General features: G+C 56.3%; 2 protein-coding genes across 3 annotated transcripts in view, besides 4 other annotated features; one reads left to right on the top strand and one right to left on the bottom strand.

Moving 5' to 3' along the window:
* Positions 549–1,031: a silencer, noted in NCBI's record as "fragment chr19:14587236-14587718 (GRCh37/hg19 assembly coordinates)". NCBI's record gives its function as "represses an EF-1alpha promoter that drives an FKBP-Casp9 reporter gene in an ReSE screen in HepG2 liver carcinoma cells {active_cell/tissue: HepG2}" and the evidence as "EXISTENCE:reporter gene assay evidence [ECO:0000049][PMID:32094911]".
* Positions 1,448–2,116: an enhancer, noted in NCBI's record as "H3K27ac-H3K4me1 hESC enhancer chr19:14586151-14586819 (GRCh37/hg19 assembly coordinates)". NCBI's record gives its function as "activates a minimal SCP1, AML or CMV promoter by ChIP-STARR-seq in naive H9 embryonic stem cells {active_cell/tissue: H9 hESC(naive)}" and the evidence as "EXISTENCE:reporter gene assay evidence [ECO:0000049][PMID:30033119]".
* Positions 2,101–4,989, top strand: PTGER1 (prostaglandin E receptor 1). Its single transcript, NM_000955.3, has 3 exons — positions 2,101–2,193; positions 3,118–4,076; positions 4,629–4,989. Exons 2-3 carry the CDS (start codon positions 3,135–3,137, stop codon positions 4,893–4,895), a joined length of 1,209 nt encoding a protein of 402 aa, NP_000946.2. The 5' UTR covers positions 2,101–2,193; positions 3,118–3,134; the 3' UTR covers positions 4,896–4,989.
* Positions 5,108–5,756: an enhancer, noted in NCBI's record as "H3K27ac-H3K4me1 hESC enhancer chr19:14582511-14583159 (GRCh37/hg19 assembly coordinates)". NCBI's record gives its function as "activates a minimal SCP1, AML or CMV promoter by ChIP-STARR-seq in primed H9 embryonic stem cells {active_cell/tissue: H9 hESC(primed)}" and the evidence as "EXISTENCE:reporter gene assay evidence [ECO:0000049][PMID:30033119]".
* Positions 5,181–5,270: a silencer, noted in NCBI's record as "silent region_10253". NCBI's record gives its function as "represses an Ori minimal core promoter by ATAC-STARR-seq in GM12878 lymphoblastoid cells {active_cell/tissue: GM12878}" and the evidence as "EXISTENCE:reporter gene assay evidence [ECO:0000049][PMID:35858748]".
* The window catches only part of PKN1 (protein kinase N1), a 38,554-nt gene continuing 24,083 nt past the window's right edge, over positions 5,596–20,066 (bottom strand). For both annotated transcript variants that reach the window (NM_002741.5, NM_213560.3), the window contains exons 8-22: positions 19,315–19,424; positions 19,080–19,223; positions 13,713–13,788; positions 13,486–13,627; positions 13,302–13,395; positions 9,814–9,890; positions 9,662–9,737; positions 9,488–9,579; positions 7,938–8,114; positions 7,641–7,703; positions 7,467–7,543; positions 7,150–7,292; positions 6,773–6,880; positions 6,604–6,684; positions 5,596–5,874 (exon numbers count right to left, since the gene is read on the bottom strand). In NM_002741.5, the coding sequence (NP_002732.3) occupies positions 5,671–5,874; positions 6,604–6,684; positions 6,773–6,880; positions 7,150–7,292; positions 7,467–7,543; positions 7,641–7,703; positions 7,938–8,114; positions 9,488–9,579; positions 9,662–9,737; positions 9,814–9,890; positions 13,302–13,395; positions 13,486–13,627; positions 13,713–13,788; positions 19,080–19,223; positions 19,315–19,424 (1,664 nt within the window). In that variant the 3' untranslated portion in view covers positions 5,596–5,670. The remainder of the gene's footprint in view (positions 5,875–6,603; positions 6,685–6,772; positions 6,881–7,149; positions 7,293–7,466; positions 7,544–7,640; positions 7,704–7,937; positions 8,115–9,487; positions 9,580–9,661; positions 9,738–9,813; positions 9,891–13,301; positions 13,396–13,485; positions 13,628–13,712; positions 13,789–19,079; positions 19,224–19,314; positions 19,425–20,066) is intronic.

Raw genomic sequence — 20,066 nt, 5'->3', positions numbered from 1 at the left:
CCTGGCTTGGAAATAGAAAGATGGAACCTCAGGCCTGCCAGAGCCCCACCCCTACACCGGGAGGTTGGGGGCAGGCGTGAGGCAGCCCCCACCCCACCCGGCCCAATGCTGGACACGCAGGCGTCCATGGGGCACCCTGCTTTGTCCTAGACATAAACCCAGCATACTTGTTTTGACAACCCACTCATCTTCGAGGATTGAGGGTGATCAGGGAAAGGCGGGGTGGGACCCTGGCCAGACCTGGAGGGAAGGGAAGGGATTGAAGCAAGGGGCGCTGGGCCAGAAGGCCCCACAGGAATGCTTGGGGGTGAGCCGAGAGGCTGTGGGGAAGTCCGAGGCCAGCTTGCAATCCTCGTTCCAAAAGGCGGGCGGGCACTGGGCCACCAGGAAGAGGGGAAGGGGGAAAAGGGGAAGACCCTGGGGGCTGGGTGTTGGTGGACAGACCCGGGTGGAGTCGGGGAGCCGCAGTCCTGGTGACTCAGGGCATCCCCGGGCACCTGTGGGCTCCTCAGGTGTCTGTGCTGGGAGCCGCTTGCGGTGGTGAAGGGGTGTGGCTATGTGTGTCTCGGGTGTTGGGTAGCACTGTGAGTCTATCAAGAGTGTTGATGGCTCGTGACGCAATGAGGGAGGGCTGTGTCGTGGGTAAGGGATGTGATAACCGGCTCTGTGTTCCAGGGCAATTGCAGGTGTAACTGGCAGTGTCTGGTGGTGGGGAGTGCAACGGAGTGACTGTGTCTTGGGGTGTCCCGGGGTGTGGGGGTGTGTGTCTTAGGGTGCTGTTTCTGGGGCAAGGAGGGGTGCTTGGCTAGGCCTTGGGGTGTTCAGGGGTGTCAGGGTATGTCTCGGGGTGTTGCTGTTTCCTGGGTGGGGGTGCTGGCTAGGTCTAGGGGTCTCTAGGGGTGCAGGTGTGTGTGTCTCAGGGCGTTGCTGTTTCTGGGTGAGGGTGGGGGTGGCCAGCTAGGTCTCTGGTGTCCAGCGGCGGGGGGTGTCACTTCTTGTGCCTTGGGTGTACGGAGTGTGCTGGTGGGGCCTGTCTGGGATTGTTGAGGGGTCATTGAAAGTCAAACAGAGTGTGGTCAGGGGCAGTTTTGGCAATAAGGAGTGTGTGTGCGTGTGTGTATCTCTCGGGGTGCCAAGTGAGACCCTATTTCCCAGCACTAAGGAGGGTGGTTCGGGTGATCATCTCAGAGGGCTGCATTTTGGGGTGTTGGGAGGGGCTGGAATTGAGGCAGTAACTCTGGGTGCGTCCCGGCGCTGGGGGTAAGACCCTGAGTTCAGGGATGTGGCGGCAGCAACCTGGCTGTGCTGAGATGGGGACAGGATGAAACTGAGTGGTAAGTGACAGGATTGTATGTCTTAGGGTGTGAGGCTGTGCCAGTGTGACCCTACTTCTCAGGGCAGGAGGCGAGTCTTTGTGTCTTAGGACGTGTGTCACAGGTGTCACTCAGCCCATCTTAAAGGAGCCAGTCACTGGGGAGAGTCCCCAGGTCGCCAGGCCTCCTGGTTCCCCTGCCCCCTTTCAGCCTCCTCCCAGGATATGACTCGCTGTGGCCCTAGCCGGGGCTTAAGCCCCTGTATAAATAGGCGGATCCCCTGGCCAGGCTGGGCCTGACCCAAGCTGGTCTACCCGAGGCCCTGCCCACCAGCACCCACCCCGACATCCACGAAGGCTTTGGCAGGGCAGGGGGGGCATTGCTGGCCCCACAGAATTGGAGTTAGCCTCTCTAGCTCCAAAGCCCCAGGGAGGGGGGCAGTGGCACCCCCTGCAGCTGCCCCAGCCCGCCCCAGACGACGCTCACATTTTCCAGTGTTTAGATTTTATCCGCTTTATTAATGAGGCAAGAGGCCCGATCCTGGGGGGGAAGGGGGCTGCTCCCGCCCTGCTGGGAGGAGGGGGTCACATGGGGCCAGACCAACTCCAGGGAGCCTCACTCCTCGTGGAGGGAGCCGCTGGGGCCCAGAGTGGCCCCCGCCCATTGCCAGGAGCAGAGAGGGGGGTCTCTGCCACTCCAGGCCCCCAGCGGGCGTGCGCGGGGTGGAGCGGCCCCTGGAGGCCAGCAAGGGCGGCGGGAGGAGCTGAGGAGCCGCCCCAGGAAGAGGGAGGGAGGAAGCGGCTTGCCGGAGAGCCAGGGCGCAGTGGGCGGCAGGGCTGAGCGGCCGGTGATGGGGACCCCACATCCCAGGCAGTGCCGGGTAAGGGGGTTGCACATGAGGGTCCCTGATTGGGGAGGAGGAGGGCATGAAGGGGTGGGGCCATGGCCACCTGCTGTCCGTCCTGTGTCCCCGGGCTCTTCTCCCTGATCTGTGCGTCCCTGTCTTACCGTCTGTCCATCCTCCCTTCCCATCTGGCCTGGTGGGCAGTTCCGCCCTTTCAGCCCTCACCACCAGGATATCAAAGAGTGGATGGTCGTGGGGCCGCCTCCAGGCCTCTGGGGCAGGGATATGGAGTGGAACCGTGGGCACCCAGGGTGAGGCAGAGGTGATCGGGGTAGGGCCTGGCGAGAGACCGCAGTGGAGCAGAGGCAGGTCCATGGGGCAGGGGCAGAGATGGGTCCATGGCACAGATGTGGCTGTGCCATGTGGGGTCAGAGATGGGTCCATGGGGGACAGGGACATGGCCGTGGGGAGAGATGTGCCCGTGGTGGTAGAGATGGGGCTGGGGCATCGAGGATGGGACTGGAGTAAAGCTGACATGGGGAAAGTCAGGTAGGGCCACAGTGGCAGAAATGGGTGAGAGCTATCAGATGGAGCCACAGGCCCCAGGAATTTGCTGGGTGTAAAAATGGAAGGTGGGGGTCGGAGGCACTGGCAGAGATGCCTGAGGGCGGGGCTGGGGGGAATCTTGCAGGAAACCATGAAGGGCAGAGAAAGGGCCAGTGGGGTTAGAGGGAGGCCCTGGAGCAGGAGATGGGGTGGTGAGAGGCAAAAGAGAGGGAGAAGGGTTTCCAAATGGAGTGGCCAGGTCATTTGGAGTTGCCCATGGCAACTGCCATGGGCAGAGGGGCCGCCTGAGAACGCCATGGAGTCAAACAGGCCCTGATGTTCTGAGATGGCACCGTGGGCTGGTCCCCGCCCGGGCCCAGCCAGCCTCACTCTGCCCTCCTCTCCTCTATCCAGCACCCCTGGCGCCTGACATGAGCCCTTGCGGGCCCCTCAACCTGAGCCTGGCGGGCGAGGCGACCACATGCGCGGCGCCCTGGGTCCCCAACACGTCGGCCGTGCCGCCGTCGGGCGCTTCGCCCGCGCTGCCCATCTTCTCCATGACGCTGGGCGCCGTGTCCAACCTGCTGGCGCTGGCGCTGCTGGCGCAGGCCGCGGGCCGCCTGCGACGCCGCCGCTCGGCCGCCACCTTCCTGCTGTTCGTGGCCAGCCTGCTGGCCACCGACCTGGCGGGCCACGTGATCCCGGGCGCGCTGGTGCTGCGTCTGTACACTGCGGGGCGCGCTCCGGCCGGCGGGGCCTGCCACTTCCTGGGCGGCTGCATGGTCTTCTTCGGCCTGTGCCCGCTGCTGCTGGGCTGTGGCATGGCCGTGGAGCGCTGCGTGGGCGTCACGCGGCCGCTGCTCCACGCCGCGCGGGTCTCGGTCGCCCGCGCGCGCCTGGCGCTGGCCGCGGTGGCCGCGGTGGCCTTGGCCGTGGCGCTGCTGCCGCTGGCGCGCGTGGGCCGCTATGAGCTGCAGTACCCGGGCACGTGGTGCTTCATCGGCCTGGGTCCCCCGGGCGGCTGGCGCCAGGCACTGCTTGCTGGCCTCTTCGCCAGCCTCGGCCTGGTCGCGCTCCTCGCCGCGCTGGTGTGCAACACGCTCAGCGGCCTGGCCCTGCTACGCGCCCGCTGGCGACGCCGCTCCCGACGGCCTCCCCCGGCCTCAGGCCCCGACAGCCGGCGTCGCTGGGGGGCGCACGGACCCCGCTCGGCCTCCGCCTCGTCCGCCTCGTCCATCGCTTCGGCCTCCACCTTCTTTGGCGGCTCTCGGAGCAGCGGCTCGGCACGCAGAGCTCGCGCCCACGACGTGGAGATGGTGGGCCAGCTTGTCGGTATCATGGTGGTGTCGTGCATCTGCTGGAGCCCAATGCTGGTGAGGGGCGCACCGGCCCCTCGAGCCACGCTCCTTCCCGCTCCCTCTCGGCACCCTCCCGCCCTTTGTCGTCCCAGGACACCTGGGGCCTCCATCCTGGACTCAACCAAGGCCCCGGCCCCTAGAGGCCCCACCTGCCCCGAAAGCCAGCATCGCCTTCTCCATCTGACCTCCCATCCTTCCTCCTAGCCCCCCTCTCCTCTTCCTTTTTGGGGTCTTTGTAGCGCACCCCGACCCACACAAGCCTCCTCTCCTGCCCCACCGTTATAAGTCGCCGCGCTTCATTCCCTAGTCCTTTCACCCAACCCCCTTGCTTTTCCTCTTTCCGGGACACCTGAGACTCCTCTACGGCCGGACCCCCACCCACTGAAGGTGTTTGTTTCTTTGCCCCCCTTTTTTTTCCGCATCCGTTTCTCATCTGGATCCCCATTTACCCTCCCTGCGACGGCTCGCCCCTCCTCCCAGGCTTTTACCTTCCAGCCACGCCCCCACCATCCCTGCGCCCCCCTGCGCCCGCGCCTGCTCTATAGCTCACACCGGCTTCCCCCGCAGGTGTTGGTGGCGCTGGCCGTCGGCGGCTGGAGCTCTACCTCCCTGCAGCGGCCACTGTTCCTGGCCGTGCGCCTTGCCTCCTGGAACCAGATCCTGGACCCTTGGGTGTACATCCTACTGCGCCAGGCCGTGCTGCGCCAACTGCTTCGCCTCTTGCCCCCGAGGGCCGGAGCCAAGGGCGGCCCCGCGGGGCTGGGCCTAACACCGAGCGCCTGGGAGGCCAGCTCGCTGCGCAGCTCCCGGCACAGCGGCCTCAGCCACTTCTAAGCACAACCAGAGGCCCAACGACTAAGCCAGCCCACCCTGGGCTGGGCCCAGGTGCGCGGCGCAGAGCCTTTGGGAATAAAAAGCCATTCTGCGAGCCCAGGCAGGACCGTGTGTCCCGTCGGGGCTTCGGCATCCACTGGGGCCGCGCGGGGGGCTGCAGGGACGCCGCGTGCGCCTCCAGGGTGGATGCAGTTCCGGGGCCTACCAGAAGAGGGCGCGGAGACACGGGGGCGCGGTTCTAGGAGGTTCGAGGGTGCCGGGCCCGTGGGCGCCAGAGCCGCAGGAGCAAGCGCACCGTGCGGGCGGCCGGGGCTGGGGCTCCGCTGGGAGCAGAGACAGAGGGTGTGTGGGGCGTTTCCTGACCTTGCCGCTGCCCTAACGGACTTCCGAAACCATTCTGCTCACTGCGGCTTTGAGCTCTTCCAATACAGCCCCAAAACCCTATCCCCAAACCATTTTGCCCCACGCCCCTGGGCGCCCCCCAACACAATCCCGACGCCCCCTCCCATCTCGGCTCACCCACGCTCCCCACCATAAGAACAGCCCCGAGTCCACGCCGCCCCTTGATCCTCTTCAGATGACACCCCCATCAGTCGAGACTCCCACGACCACCCAGCCACCTGCCCCGCAAACGTCCACACCTCCAAGCACGCCCCCACCCCCAATGACTGCACACAAGAAGACACGGAGGATGCAAGGATCCGGCAAATCCCAAAGGCCTTTTTAAAAACTAAGAGCTCTCGGGCAGGGGCAGGGGCAGGGGCAGGGGAGGGGGCTAGCAGCCCCCGGCCACGAAGTCGAAGTCCAGGAAGGCTGCCTGCTCCGCGGCTGTGAGGGGCCGCGCGTCGCGGGGCGGGCTCAGTGTGGGGGCCTCCCCGGTGAACTCCTCGTCGAAGTTGCTGACGTCGGTGCGGCCGGACAGCGTGGGCACAAAGGGCGGTGGCAGGCGCCGGGCCAACAGGGCTTCCCAGCCCAGAGTCTGCAGGGGAGGGAAGCGGAGGGGAGGGTCAGCCTGGAGGCTGAGGAGGGGGCGTGCTGCAGTGGGGACCAGTCCTGGGGCTCGGGGACCACGGAGAGGAGTGAGCATACAGAGGACAAGTGGGGTGGGGGGACTGGGGCTCAGGAGGGATCACCTGCGAGAGCCTGGTGGAGAAGCCGGATTAGGAAAAGTGGAGGCCCGGCGTGGTGGCTCAGGCCTGTAATCCCAGCACTTCGGGAGGCCGAGGCGGGAGGATCACTTGAGGCCAGGAGTTCAGGACCAGCCTGGCCAACATGGCGAAACCCCGTCTCTACTAAAAATACAAAAATTAGCCTGGTGTGGTGGAGTGGTGCACGCCTGTAATCCCAGGTACTCGGGAGGCTGAGGCAGGAGAACTGCATGAACCTGGGAGGCGGAGGTTGCAGTGAGCCGAGATTGAGCCACTGCACTCCAGCCTGGGCGACAGAGCGAGACCCTGGCTAAAAAAAAAAAAAAAAGGGAAAAGTGGAGATGTGGGATTAGGAGGGTCCTTGGGGGGAACAAAAGTGGAGGAGGGAAATGGGGGTGTCAAAGGAGGTGACGATGTTGCCCTGGAGGTGCAACGAGGCCCTTGAGGCGCAACGAGGCCCTTGAGGCAAAGCGGCTAGGCATGGGGGCCGTCTGCTGTGGGGTGATGAATCGGCCCTGGGGGAGGGCCGGGGTCACTGAGGTCCTTGTGGGGAATCTCACCCTGAAGAAGGGCTGTTTCTTCACATCTTCTGCATCTCTCTCGCTAGATCCCAGCCTCCGCTCTGGGTTCCTCCGAAGCAGCTTGGAGGAAGGAGCACTGTGTCAGGATCTGTCCCCTCCTGGGCCCCACTGCCCCTCCCCAGGCCCGCCCCACGTCGGGGGTCCTCACCCTTCTCATGATGCCGATGGCTTCGGCCGACAGGAAGCGGGGGTAGCGAACCTCGTCGTTGACGATGCTGTCGAAGACCTCCTCCTCATCATCCCCTGGGAATGGGGACTGGGGAGAGGGAGGCCCGGGGTGAACGAGGCCCCTCCTCTGGCTGCTCCAAACCCAGCCCGGCCTGAGCCCCACACTCTGCTGCAGCTCTTGGGTGCTGGCTTACTTGGGCAGGGAAATGCCCCATTTTATAGATGTGGAAACTGAGGCCAGGGAAGCAGAGCCAGCAGCCCTCAATCACACAACACATGGTGGAGGCAGACTTGGATCCCACCCTGGGCACGCGCAGGTTCCAATGAGATCCGAGACACACAGGGGCGGGGTCTCACCTCGCCAACCAGCATCTCGTAGAGCAGCACACCCAGTCCCCACCAGTCCACAGCTCGCGTGTACGACGTGTCCGTCAGCACCTCAGGGGCCAGGAACTCCGGGGTCCCACAGAATGTGCTGGTCCGGTCCCCATAGCCCATCCCTGGGGACAGCAAGGCCATGTGAGGTTATGGGGGCCAGAGGAGTCACTCAGCCCAATGTGGGGTTGTCCACACAGCCAGCCCTGTCCCAGGGTCAGGGTGGGGGGCACCCCGAATAGGGTTAGGGACCCCATTCCTTCCCCCTCCTTTGTCTAATCCAGAGGCCAGCCCCTCACCCTCCTTGCAGAGGCCAAAGTCTGCGATCTTGACGTAGCCCTCGGTGTCCAGGAGCAAATTGTCCAACTTCAGGTCCCTGTTGGGGGTTGGAGGGGTGGAAAGAGGGATGAGCGGGGGTCTGGGTCCTGTCCCCACAACGGGCAGTGTGCACATGCATGCACACACGCACACACCTGTAGACGATCTTGTGTTCGTGAAGAAACTGTAGGCCCAGCACCACGCAGGCGGAATAAAAGCTGCAGAGAGAGAGAGGCTGCTGAGAGGGGTGGGGCCACCCTGCAAGGAGGGAGGGTCACATAAGCCTGGCTTCCACATCCTCAAAAGCCCCCCAGTCTCCCCAAAGCTCTGGGAGGCTGAGGGAAGCAAGGCCTGAGGGTGGAGGGGTGAGAAGCAGGCTGCCAGCCTCTCGGGGGGACTAAGTGTCAGATGCTGTAGGGGAGGCAGGGGCCCGGGCTGGGGTCCAGGCTCACATGGCACGGGGCTCAGAGAACACGTCGCTGTGGATGTGCAGCATCAGGTCCCCACCGGCCGAGTACTCCATCACGAAGCACACGTGCTCCGGTGTCTGGAAACAGCCGAAGAGGTTCACCAGGAAGGGGTGTCCCGCACTGGTCACTGCCGCCAATATCCGCTTCTCACACATCAGGCTGGGGAGGGGTGGGGGATAGAAGTCAGAGACCATGGCCGCCACTTACTCCAGACTCCCAGATGGCAACCAAAGCCCATACAGAGGGAAGCAGAACTGAGAAACGTCATCTCAGCACCTGGATACAGCCATGCCTGAAGGTAGCACACTCCTGGACTTTTCAGATCCAGACCAATAAATTTCTTTACTTGTTTCAGTCTTTCTCAGTTGGGTTCCTGATTATCAAAAGGATGCTGGGAAGACCAGGCACAATCTCAGTGCCTGTACCGAATGTTTAGAGGGGTTAGGCACTGTGTAGAGAGCACCTGACAACCATGTGTGGAAGGCAATAGCATTCTGCTTCTCCACAACAAGAGGGGTTCTTTTTTTTTTTTTTTTTTTTTTTTGAGACAGAGTCAGGCTGGAGTGCAGTGGTGCGATCTTGGCTCACTGCAACCTCCGCCTCCTGGGTTCAAGCGATACTCCTGCCTCAGCCTCCCAAGTAGGTGGGACTACAGGCACCCGCCACCATGCCTGGCTGATTTTTGTATTTTTAGTAGAGACGGGGTTTCACCATGTTGGCCACACTGGTCTCGATGTCCTGACCTCAGATGATCTGCCCACCTCAGCCTCCCAAAGTGCTGGGATTACAGGCGTGAGCCACCATGCCCAGCCAAGAAGCTGAGGTTCTGAAGGGAGAAGTGACCTCCCCAGGATCTCCAAGCCCATGCTGCAGAATTGAGATTTGAACCCAGGAACCTGACCCTAAAGCAGAGGCAGTATGGTGGCACCACAAAGGGCACAGGCTTCAGAGCCTGAGTCTCTAGCTTTGAATCCTGGACCTGCTGCTTACTGGCTGTGTGACCTTGGGTAAATTGCTGAACCTCTCTGTGCCATCAGTATTTATCTTATAGGGCTACATGGAGGAACAAATGAATAACTTTCCTAAGAGCTATTATTATCTTGGTATTAGGCTAGTAGGTATTAGTGACTTTTTGTTTTGAGACAGGGTCTCACTGTGTTGCCCAGGCTGGAGTGCAGTGGCGCGATCTCAGCTCACTGCAACCTTGACCTACTGGGCTCAGGCGATCCTCCTATCTCAGCCTCATGAGTAGCTGGGGCTACAAGCATGTGCCACCACACCCAGCTAATTATTTTGTATTTTTTGTAAAGATGGGGGTGTCACCATGTTGCCCAGCCTGGTCTTGAAATTCTGAGCCCAAGTGATCCACCTGCCTCGGCCTCCCAGAGTGCTGGGATTACAGGTAAGAGCCACTGTGCCTGGCGTTAGTGACTACTATGAGTCACTCTCCCTGTAGCTCCAAGGAGAGAACTGCTCTGTCATTTCCCAAAAGAGAAGAAAGAGGTCCCCAGAGGACCACGGCAGGTCCCCACCTCTCCACCTCGTCTCGGGCCACAATGTCCCCTTTCTTCAGAGCCTTGATGGCGAACAGCTCCCCACTGGGCCGGAATTCGGAGAGGAGCACCTGGAACCACAGTGGGCAGGGGTGGTTTTAGCGGCCAGCCAGGGACCTGGGGGGTCTCCCAATTCCCTGCCCTCCACCTCACCTTCCCAAAATGACCCCGGCCCAGCACCGCCAGGAACTTGAAATCTTCGAGGGTCAGAGGTGACTTCCTCAGAGGGCTGTGGAGAGAGGCCACTGGTGAGAACAAGGACAGCGGGCAGGGGTGGTGGACAGGGGGCCAGGGAGTGGTGTCACCTGCACAGGGCGGGGCCTGGGGTCTCCTGGGTCTCCGAAGGCAGCTCGGGAGCAGTGGATTCCTGGATGGGGGAGCTCTGTGGCGGAGAGAGGAGGCCAGAGTAAGGGGAGTCAGAGATGCCCTCATAACCACAGCAGCCTCCGAGGCCCTGCAAGATCTGCCCCCGACCTCTCTGTCCTCACCTCTCCTCCCACGCAGCCCCTCACTCACTCTCCTCCAGCCACACGCCTGCACCACCATGGCTGGCTAATTTTTGTATTTTTAGTAGAGACGGGGTTTCACCATGTTGGCCAGGCTGGTCTGGAACTCCTGATCTCAGGTGATCCACCCGCCTCGGCCTCCCAAAGTGCCAGGATTACAGGCGTGAGCCACCATGCCCAACCTGAATTTTTTTTTTTAGAGACAGGGTCTTGCTCTGTCTTCCAGGATGGAGTGCAGGGGCGCAGTCATAGCTCAGTGCAGCCTCCAACTCTACCTCCGCCTCCTGAGTAGCTGGGACTAAAGGCATGCACCACCACGTCCAGCTCATTTTTTTTTTTTTTGAGATGGAGTTTCACTCTTGTTGCCCAGGCTGGAGTACAATGGTGTGATCTTCGCTCACTGCAACCTCCGCCTCCCGGATTCAAGTGATTCTCCTACCTCAGCCTCCCAAACAGCTGGGATTACAGGCATGCACCACTACGCCCGGCTAATTTTTTATATTTTTAGTAGAGATGGGGTTTCTCCATGTTGGTCAGGGTGGTCTTCAACTCCCGACCTGAGGTGATCCACCTGCCTCAGCCTCCCAAAGTGCTGGGATTACAGGCGTCAGCCACCGCGCCCGGCCTAATTTTTGTAGAGATGGGGTCTTGTTCTGTTCCTCAGGCTGGTCTCAAACTTCTGGCCTCAAGCGATCTTCTTCGTTCAGCTTCCTGAGTAGCTGGGACTACAAGTGCAAGCCATCATGCCTGGCTTGACAATGTCCATTTTTTATTATTATTTTTTTTATTTTTGAGACTGAGTCTCACTCTGTCGCCCAGGCTGGGGTACAGTGGTGTGATCTCAGCTCACTGCAACCTCCGCCTCCCAGATTCCAGCAATTCTCCTGCCTCAGCCTCCCAAGTAGCTGGGATTACAGGCGTGCGCCACCACGCCCGGCTAATTTTTGTATTTTTAGTAGAGATGGGATTTCACCATGTTAGCCAGGATAGTCTTGATCTCTTGACTCCAAAGTGCTGGGATTACAGGCGTGAGCCACCATGCCCAACCCATTACTTCTACTTTCTAAAAAATTAGATCTATAAAAAATTAGCCAGGTGTGGTGGTGCACGCCTGTAGTCCCAGTTACTTGGGAGGCTGAAGTGAGAGGATCACCTGAGCTCAGGAGGTCGAGGCTGCAGCGAGCCATGACTGCGCCACTGCACTCCACCCTGGATGGCAGAGCGAGACCCCGTTTCAAAAAAAAAAGATAAAAGATAAAATGCATTCAGGCTGGGTGCAGTAGCTCATACCTGTATCTCAGCAATTTGGGAGGCTGCAGAGGGGAGAACACTTGAGGTCAGGAGTTCAAGACCAGCCTGGCCAACATGGTGAAACCCCATCTCTACTAAAACCAAAAATTAGTTGGGCATGATGGCACATGCCTGTAGTCCCAGCTATTAGGGAGGCTGAGGCATGGGCATCTTTGAACCTGAGAGGCGGAGATTGGAGTGAGCTGAGATCACGCCACTGCATTCCAACGCCCATTCTGGGCGACAGAGTGAGACTCTGTCTCAAAATAAATAAATAAATAAAATGCATTCAGTGAGGTGGGCAAGAGGAACAGGTTACATATGCATCCACCCAGGAAACCATCAGCCAGCCTAGGAGTTGGCAAATGCTGGCTGGTGGGCCAGCCTGTTTTTATAGTTTGTAAGAGCTAAGAATGGCTTTCACTATTTTTTTTTTTTTTAAGAGATGCAGTGGCCGGGCATGGTGACTCACACCTATAATCCCAGCACTTTGGGAGGCTGAGGTGGGCAGATCATCTGAGGTCAGGAGTTCAAGACCAGCCTGGCCAACGAGGTGAAACCCCGTCTCTATTAAAAATACAAAAATTAGCTGGGTGTGGTGGGCACACACCTGTAGTCCCAGCTACTCGGGTGGTTGAGGCAGGAGAATCCCTTGAACCTGGGAGGCAGAGGTTGCAGTGAGCCTAGATCACGCCACTGCACTCCAGCCTGGGCAACAGAGTGAGACTCCATCTCAAAAAAAAAAAAAAAAGAGATGGAGTTTTGCCATGTTGTTCAGGCCAGACTCCAACTCCTGGGCTCAAGTCATCCTCCTGCCTCGGCCTCCCAAGTAGCTGGGACCACAGGTAAACTGATTTTTACATTTTTAAATCGTTGGGGGAATAAAAAAAAACAAAAAAAGGAATAATATTTCATTGCCCATGAAAGTTCTACAATGTTCAAACTTCCGCGTGTACTACCAATAAGGTTTTACTGGAATAGAGACACGCTTACAGTGTACATATATCGTCTGTGGCTGCTTTCAAACTACAAAGCAGACAGGGACTGTCTAGCCCACAAAGCCAAAAATATTGACTCTCTGGCCCTTTCTGGAAAACGCGTGCTGACCTCTGACCGAGATCAAGATAAGGAACATTTCCATCACCCGGCAGGTCCCCTTGTGGCTCCCAGCTTGCGGTAACCTCTGCCTAGAGAACAGCACTCTCTCGATCATTCTATCATTGACATGAGTTTTAAATATGCTCGTTTTGCAAAGTGGTACACTGAGGCACAGAGGTGAAGCGCAGAGCCAAGAGGTGGCACGGCAGGGGTGGGAACCCAGGGGGTCCAGCCGCTGAGCTCACAGTTTTATTTATTTTTATTTTTTGAGATGGAGTCGCTCTGTCGCCCAGGCTGGAGCGCAATTGGTATGATCTTGGCTTACTGCAACCTCCGCCTCTCAGGTTCAACTGATCCTCCTGCCCCAGTTGCCCGGGTAGCTGGGATTACAGGTGCCCACCACCGTACCCGGCTAATTCTTGTATTTTTATTAGAGACGGGGTTTCATTGTGTTGGCCAGGCTGGTCTTGAACTCCTGGCCTCAAGTGATCCACCCGCCTCAGCCTCCCAAAGTGCTGGGATTCCAGGTGTGAGCCACTGTGCCCAGCCTGTTTTGTTTTTTGAGATAGTATTTCGCTATGTTGCCCAGGCTGGAGTGCAGTGGCAGGATCATGGCTCACAGTGGCTCACTGTGTTGCCCAGGCTGGTCTCAAACTCCTGGGCTCCAGCAATCCTCCCATGTCAGCCTCCCAGAAGTGCTGAGATTATAGGCATGAGCAGTTTTTTAACCAGGATGGGGATCTGGGCACACGTTTTAACCAGCATAGAGATCTGGGCCCTGGTTCTGCCACAGACATGCTGCGTGGCTCCAGGGAAGTTCCTAGTGGTCTCTGAGCCTGGAGCAGGACCCCTGACGCTGCCCAGGCCAGGCCTACGGGGATAGAAGGGGGGACCCTCACCAGGCTCGATGGGCTGGAAGGAGGATCCCGCGAGCTCTTCTGAGGTGAGCTGTCCGAGTCAGTGCCGAGGTTCAGCTTCTCCACCGATATGTCACTGCAGCAGACGAGAGGAGGGTGTGTCTGGGACCCAGGACCCTCGCAGGCTTCAAGGGGCAGCCGGGACCATGGGGCCCTCCTTCCTTACCCCGTGGTCCGGGCCTCGGATCCTGGAGAAGCCCCAGGGCTAAAGGTGCCTGTGCCCGTGGCATTGGGGATGAGCCTCCGGAGCAGCCGCACCCACGTGGCGACATCGATGTTCATCTGCCTAGCACGCTGGAACGCCTTCCCTGGGGGGACGGGGCAGGCGTCACCCTCCATGACACTCCCAGGACCCCTGGCCTCTCCCCCAGGAAGCCTGGAGCACCCTCTCACCTTGCTGCTTGGAGAAAATTTTCTTCTGCCGTCGGAGCCGAGGAATCCTCTCAATGACAGGGTTGCGGAAGGTGACCTGGGGGAAGGGACCAAAATGTGAGGACCCTCTGCCCACCTGCAGGCAGACAGCTTGGTAAGGAAGCCCCTGGGAGCACAGGTGTGCGCGCCCAAGTGGGGTTCTGGTCACGTGGCATCAGATTCAACCCGAGTACCAGGTGACAATGAAGAGGTCATCGGTGCAACCCATGGCTCCCCTCCTGAAGGGACGTCTTGGAAAAGCAAGAAGCAAACAACCGGGTCCCTTTCTAGAGGTGGGGAGAGCATCTGACCCAACAAGACTGACAGACAGCGACTGCAAACGGACGCCACGCCATCCCACACCCCATTCCCCACATGTGCTCCCAGACCCCAGACCTGCAGTAGCAGCAACACCTGGGAACTTTCTAGAAACGCAGGTTTGACCTACTGAGCCAGAAACATGGAGTGGAGGAAGCGCGCGCATGCTCTCTCTCTCTCTCTATATATATATATATATACACACACACATATATATATATACACACATATATATATGCACATATGAGTAGTCCGATCTCGGCTCACTGCAGCCTCCACCTCCCGGGCTCAAGAGATCCTCCCACCTCAGCCTCCTGAGTAGCTGGGACTACAGGCACGCACCCCCATGCCTGGCAAATTGTTGTATTTTTGTAGAGACGGAGTTTCACCATGTTGGCCAGGCTGGTCCTGAACTCCTGGGCTCAAGCGATCTGCCCACTTTGGCCTCCCAAAGTGCTGGGATTACAGGCGCGAGCCACCGTGCCCGGCCCTAAAGCACTCAGTATTTCAACAAGCCCCCAGGCAATGCTGGTGCCCACCCATCTATGGAAGCCACCTGTCAAGTTGAATTCTCCCAACTCCAATACAACTTCTAGAAGGTGCTGAAGTCACAGAACTGCAGTGTCTGGTATGGTTGTCACATGTGGCGATTTAAATTAGTGAAAATGTCAGCGAAATTAAAACTTTGGTTCCCTGGTCACACTGGTCACACTTCAGATAGAGAACATTTCCATCTACAACAGAACTCAGCTACTGTGGGTGCATCGACAACAGAGCTGCAGAAAGTTCCTTTTTTCTTTGAGACTCTGTTGCCCAGGCTGGAGTGCAGTGGCGCAATCTGGGCTCACCACAACCTCCACCTCCCAGGCTCTAGAGATTCTCCTGCCTCAGTCTCCCGAGCAGCTGGGATTACAGGCACCCACCACCAAGCCCGGCTAATTTCTTTTTTTTTTTTTTTGAGACACAGTCTCACTCTGTTGCCCAGGCTGGAGTACAGTGGTGCGATCTTGGCTCACTACAACCTCCGCCTCCCAGGTTCAAGTGATTCTCCTGCCTCAGCCTCCCAAGTAACTGGGATTACAGGCGTGCGCCACCACACCTGGCTGATTTTTGTATTTTTAGTAGAGACTAGGTTTTTCCACGTTGGCCAGGCTGGTCTTGAACTCCTGACCTCAGGTGATCTGCCTGCCTACCCTCCCAAAGTGCTGGGATGACAGGCGTGAGCCACCGCACCCAGCCGAATTTTTGTATTTTTAGTAAAGACAGGGTTTCACCATGTTGGCCAGGCTGGTCTCAAACTCCTGACCTCAAATGATCCATCCGCCTCAGCCTCCCGAAGTATTGGGATTACAGGCGTGAGCCACAGCGCCCGGCCAGAGCTGCAGAAAAGTTCTATGGAAGAATGCTTCTGTATAGGCATAAAAACAAAATAGAATGCCACAGAGAGACCTTGAAGGCAAGGAGAAACGCTTTAGAATGTGTCCCCCAGGCCACCCACCATCACTTTCCATTTGGTTTGGGCTGTGTTCTGAATGGGAGAACAATTTTAAACCTCTGCCATCTGGAGTCAGCTCTTCTCCACGCCCCTTTCTTTCTTTCTTTTTTTTTTTTTTGAGACAGAGTTTCGCTGTTGTTGCCCAGGCTGGAGTGCAATGATGCGATCTCGGCTCACTGCAACCTTCATCTCCCAGGTTCAACTGATTCTCCTGCCTCAGCCTCCCGCGTAGCTGGGATTACAGGCGCCTGCTACCACACCCGGCTAATTTTTCTATTTTCAGTAGAGACGGGGTTTCACCATGTTGACCAGGCTAGTCTCGAACTCCTGACTTAGTGATCTGCCCGCCTCAGCCTCCCAAAGTGCTGGGATTACAGGTGTGAGCCACTGTGCCTGGCCCCGCCCCTTTCTTTCACTGGTGCTTGATGGTCAGACCAGGGGAGAACCTCTGCTTAGGGATATGGATATAGAGAGATGGATAAATAGACACAGAAAGAGACAGATATAGACGCAGGTAGATAGAGAGGGGCATGGACGGAAGGGTAGTTACAGATAGAGAAAGAGAGAGGGACTGATAGAGAAAGGGATTCATAGAAAGAGAAGGATGCATGGATAGATGGATGGATAGATAGATACAGCTATCGAGAGAAAAAGAGAGAGAGACACAGATAGATACAGAGAGGGATAGATAGAGACAGAGACAGGAATGGGTGGATATAAATAGAGATAGAGGAATATACAGAGATGGATGGATGGAGGGATGAGCATAGATAAGATAAATGGATGGATGGATAAGATGATAGATAGATAATATAGATGGATAGATAATATAGACAGATGGGTAGACGGAAAGATAGATTAGTTGATAGATAATATAGATGGATGGATAGATAGATATAGCTATATAGAGAAAAACAGAGGCACAGATAGATATAGAGAGGGATAGATAGAGATAGAGAGAGGAATGGGTAGATATATATACAGAGAAATATACAGGGATGGATAGATGGATGGATGATGCATACATAAGATTGATGGATAAGATGACTGACAGATAATAGAGACGGATGCATGGAAAAATAGATTGGTTGATAGATAATATATAGATAGAGATAGATAAATGGATAGATGGATTAGATAAATAGATGATATAGATACCTAATATAGATGGATACATAGATAAGACAGATAATATAGGTGTATCTATCAATGGATAGAGGATGCATTGATAAGATGGCTGGGCCGGGCGCGGTGGCTCACGCCGGTAATCCCAGCACTTTGGGAGGCCAAGGCGGGCAGATCACGAGGTCAGGAGATGGAGACCATCCTGGCTAACACGGTGGGTGAAACCCCGTCTCTACTAAAAATACAAAAAATTATCCGGGCGTGGTAGCGGGTGCCTGTAGTCCCAGCTACTCGGGAGGCTGAGGCAGGAGAATGGCATGAACCCGGGAAGCAGAGGTTGCAGTGAGCCAAGATCGCACCACTGCACTCCAGCCTGGGAGACAGCGAGACTCCATCTCAAAAAAAAAAAAAAAAAAAAAAGATGGATGGATGAATGCATAGACAGACAAAATGGATGGATGGACACGTAGGTGGGTAAATAATAGATAATATGTGTGTGTATACATATATAGGTAATCTATCATATATATATGTAAAATGGGGTACACATATAGGTTAGCGGAAGATTAAAAGAGTTTTTTAGGATAATTTGGCTAAATGAGGGGTCAAGTGCCCCTTCTCTGTGCCCCAGTTTCCTCCTCTGTCAAATTTGAGTAATAACAGTCCCTCTTTTGTTGGTTGGTTGTGAGAATTAATGAGTTCACGTCGCCAAAGTACTCGCTACAGAGCCTGGCTTATACTATGAGAACTCAGCTAGAAATGTCATTTAGACCAGGGGTTCCCGGCCAGGGAGCACTTGACAGTGTCTGGAGACCTCTGGGCTGTCAAAACTCAGGGGGAGGTGGTGCTACTGACATCCTGTAAGCAGTGGGGAGAGGTGCTACATCCTCTAGTATGCAGGACAGCCCCACCACAGAGGATGATGTGGCCCCAGATGTCAACAGTGCCAAGGGTAGGCCACCTCAATTCAGACCTTCACCCTCACACAGCTGTGGAAGGAATCACTTTCTCTTGACTGTGGCTCTGGTAGCAATCACCACGATATGTTGCCAGGTTTTGTATCTCTTTCCTGGTTGGAAGAAATTTTATAATTTATTTCCTTTTTTCTTTAAACATTTCTAAATTTGGAAATCAGCTTCTTCTTCTTCTTTTTTTTTTTTTTTAAGTATCTTGCCTCAGAACAAAACCAATCCCAGCTAAGGTCCTATCACTGATGTGGCTAATTAGAAGTGCTTTTCTTCTTCTTCTTCTTCTTTTTTTTTTTTTTTTGAGACAAGAGTCTCACTCTGTTGCCCAGGCTGGAGTGCAATGGCGTGATCTCAGCTCACTGCAACCTCTGTCTCCTGGGTTCAAGCAATTCTCCTGCCTCAGCCTCCCAAGTAGCTGGGATTACAGGTACCCACTATCATGCCCAGCTAATTTTTGTATTTTTAATAGAGATGGGGTTTCACCATGTTGGCCAGGCTAGTCTGGAACTCCTGGCCTCAAGTGATCCACCTGCCTCAGCCTCCCAAAGTGCTGGGATTACAGGCGTGAGCCACCACACCTGGCCAAGGTGTACTTTTCTATCAAGGTTCAGAGACAGATCTAAAATGTATCTTCCCCTTCTAGAATACACGGGTCTAAAACATACCTGCCACTTCTGAAAGAGCCTGATCTAAAACTATCTTTCTGTATTAAGAGAAACCATATCTAAAACATATCTTATGCTTCTAAAAGAGCCTGATCTAAAATGTATCTTCCCCTTCTAGAACAAGCAGATCTTTTTTTTTTTTGTGAGACTCCTGGGCGACAGAGTCTCACTCTGTCGCCCAGGCTGGAGTGCAGTGGTGGGATCTCAGCTCACTGCAGCCTCCGCCTCCTGGGTTCAAGCGATTCTCCTGTCTCAGCCTCCCAAGTAGCTGGGACTAAAGGCATGTGCCACGACGCCCAGCTAATTTTGTACTTTTAGTTGAGACGCGGTTTTACCATGTTGCCCAGGCTGGTCTCCCTGACCTCAGGTGATCCTCCTGCCTCAGCCTTCCGAAGTGCTGGGATTACAGGCATGAGCCACCACGCCCAGCCTAGAACAGGCAGATCAAAAGCCTATCTTCCCTTTCTAGAAGAGCCTGATCTAAAACATATCTTTCCCTTCTAGAAAAAAGCAGACCTAAAACGTCTCTTCCCCTTCTGGAAGAGCCTGACCTAAAACGTATCTTCTCCTTCTAGAAAAGGCAGAGTTAAAACATATCTTCCGTTTCTAGAAGAGCTGGATCTAAAATCTATTTTCCTCTTCTAGAAAAGCCTGACTTAAAACTTATCTTCCCCTTCTGGAAGAGCCAGACCTAAAACATATTTTCCCCTTCTAGGAAACTGGGAATGGGGCAGTGAGGGAGAAGAAGCATTTTCTCAGGGTCAGGTGTGGGCTATACCTCAGCCACCAGGCAGCCCTGGGGTTCCATGTCCAGCTGCACCTCATGCCTCTCATTGTCCAAGAAATCCTCCAACTTCAGGAATTTGAGGGCACACAGGCCCCGCTGGTCCCGCCAGAACACAGCCAACTCCAGTTCCCGTGCCTGGAGGGAGAGGAAGAGGGCCATCACTCAGGGTGCCAGAGGCATGGAACCCCTCCTCCTCTAGGCCCTGCTGTCCTCCAACGCAGCTCACCCTTTCCAGCTCCAGAGTGAAGCTCTGGTCCCAGGCATTGGGGCCACATGGCTTCCAAGACGTCTGCCCCACCACTGTGTTATCCAGCTTAAGCACAGTGCTGACTTCACCTGAAATGGGAGAGAGGGCCCAGTCAGAAAATGCTGGCAGTAGCCAGACAAGGTTGCTCATGCCTGTAATCCCGGCACTTTAGGAGGTTGAGGCAGGCGATCACTTGAGGCCAGGAGTTCAAGACCAGCCTGGCCATCATAGCGAAACCCCGTCTCTACTAAAAATACAAAAAATTAGCTGGGCGTGGTGGCACGCGCCTGTAATGCCAGCTACTCGGGAGGCTGAGGAAGGAGAATCACTTGAACCCAGGAGGCAGAGGTTGTAGTGAGCCAAGATCGTGCTACTGCGCTCCAGCCTGCGTGACACAGCAAGACTCGGTCGAAAAGAGAGAAGAGAAGAGAAGAGAAAATAAAAACGGCCAGGCACAGTGGCTCATGCCTGTAATCTCAACACTTTCGGAGGCTGAGGCAGGTGGATCACCTGAGGTCAGAAGTTTGAGACCAGCCTGACCAACATGGTGAAACCCCATGTCTACTAAAAATAAAAAATTACCCAGGCGTGGTTGCACATGCCTGTAATCCCAGTTACTCGGGAGGCTGAGGCAGGAGAATCCCTTGAACCCAGGAGGCAGAGGTTGCAGTGAGCCGAGATCACGCCACTGCACTCCAGCCTGGGCAACAAGAGTGAAGCTCCATCTCAAA

The sequence above is a fragment of the Homo sapiens genome, chromosome 19, assembly GCF_000001405.40.
Source record: "Homo sapiens chromosome 19, GRCh38.p14 Primary Assembly".
Classification (NCBI taxonomy): domain Eukaryota; kingdom Metazoa; phylum Chordata; class Mammalia; order Primates; family Hominidae; genus Homo; species Homo sapiens.
Note: the sequence above shows the minus strand (reverse complement) of the source record. Positions and strands in the feature narration are given on the sequence as shown.

What these genes read in the sequence shown, in the direction of transcription:
- PTGER1 (NM_000955.3), top strand. Translation starts at nt 3,135, where the DNA reads ATGAGCCCTTGCGGGCCCCTCAACCTGAGCCTGGCGGGCGAGGCGACC. An exon ending in TCTGCTGGAGCCCAATGCTG is followed by an intron (nt 4,077 to 4,628) that starts GTGAGGGGCGCA and finishes CTTCCCCCGCAG; the next exon opens with GTGTTGGTGGCGCTGGCCGT.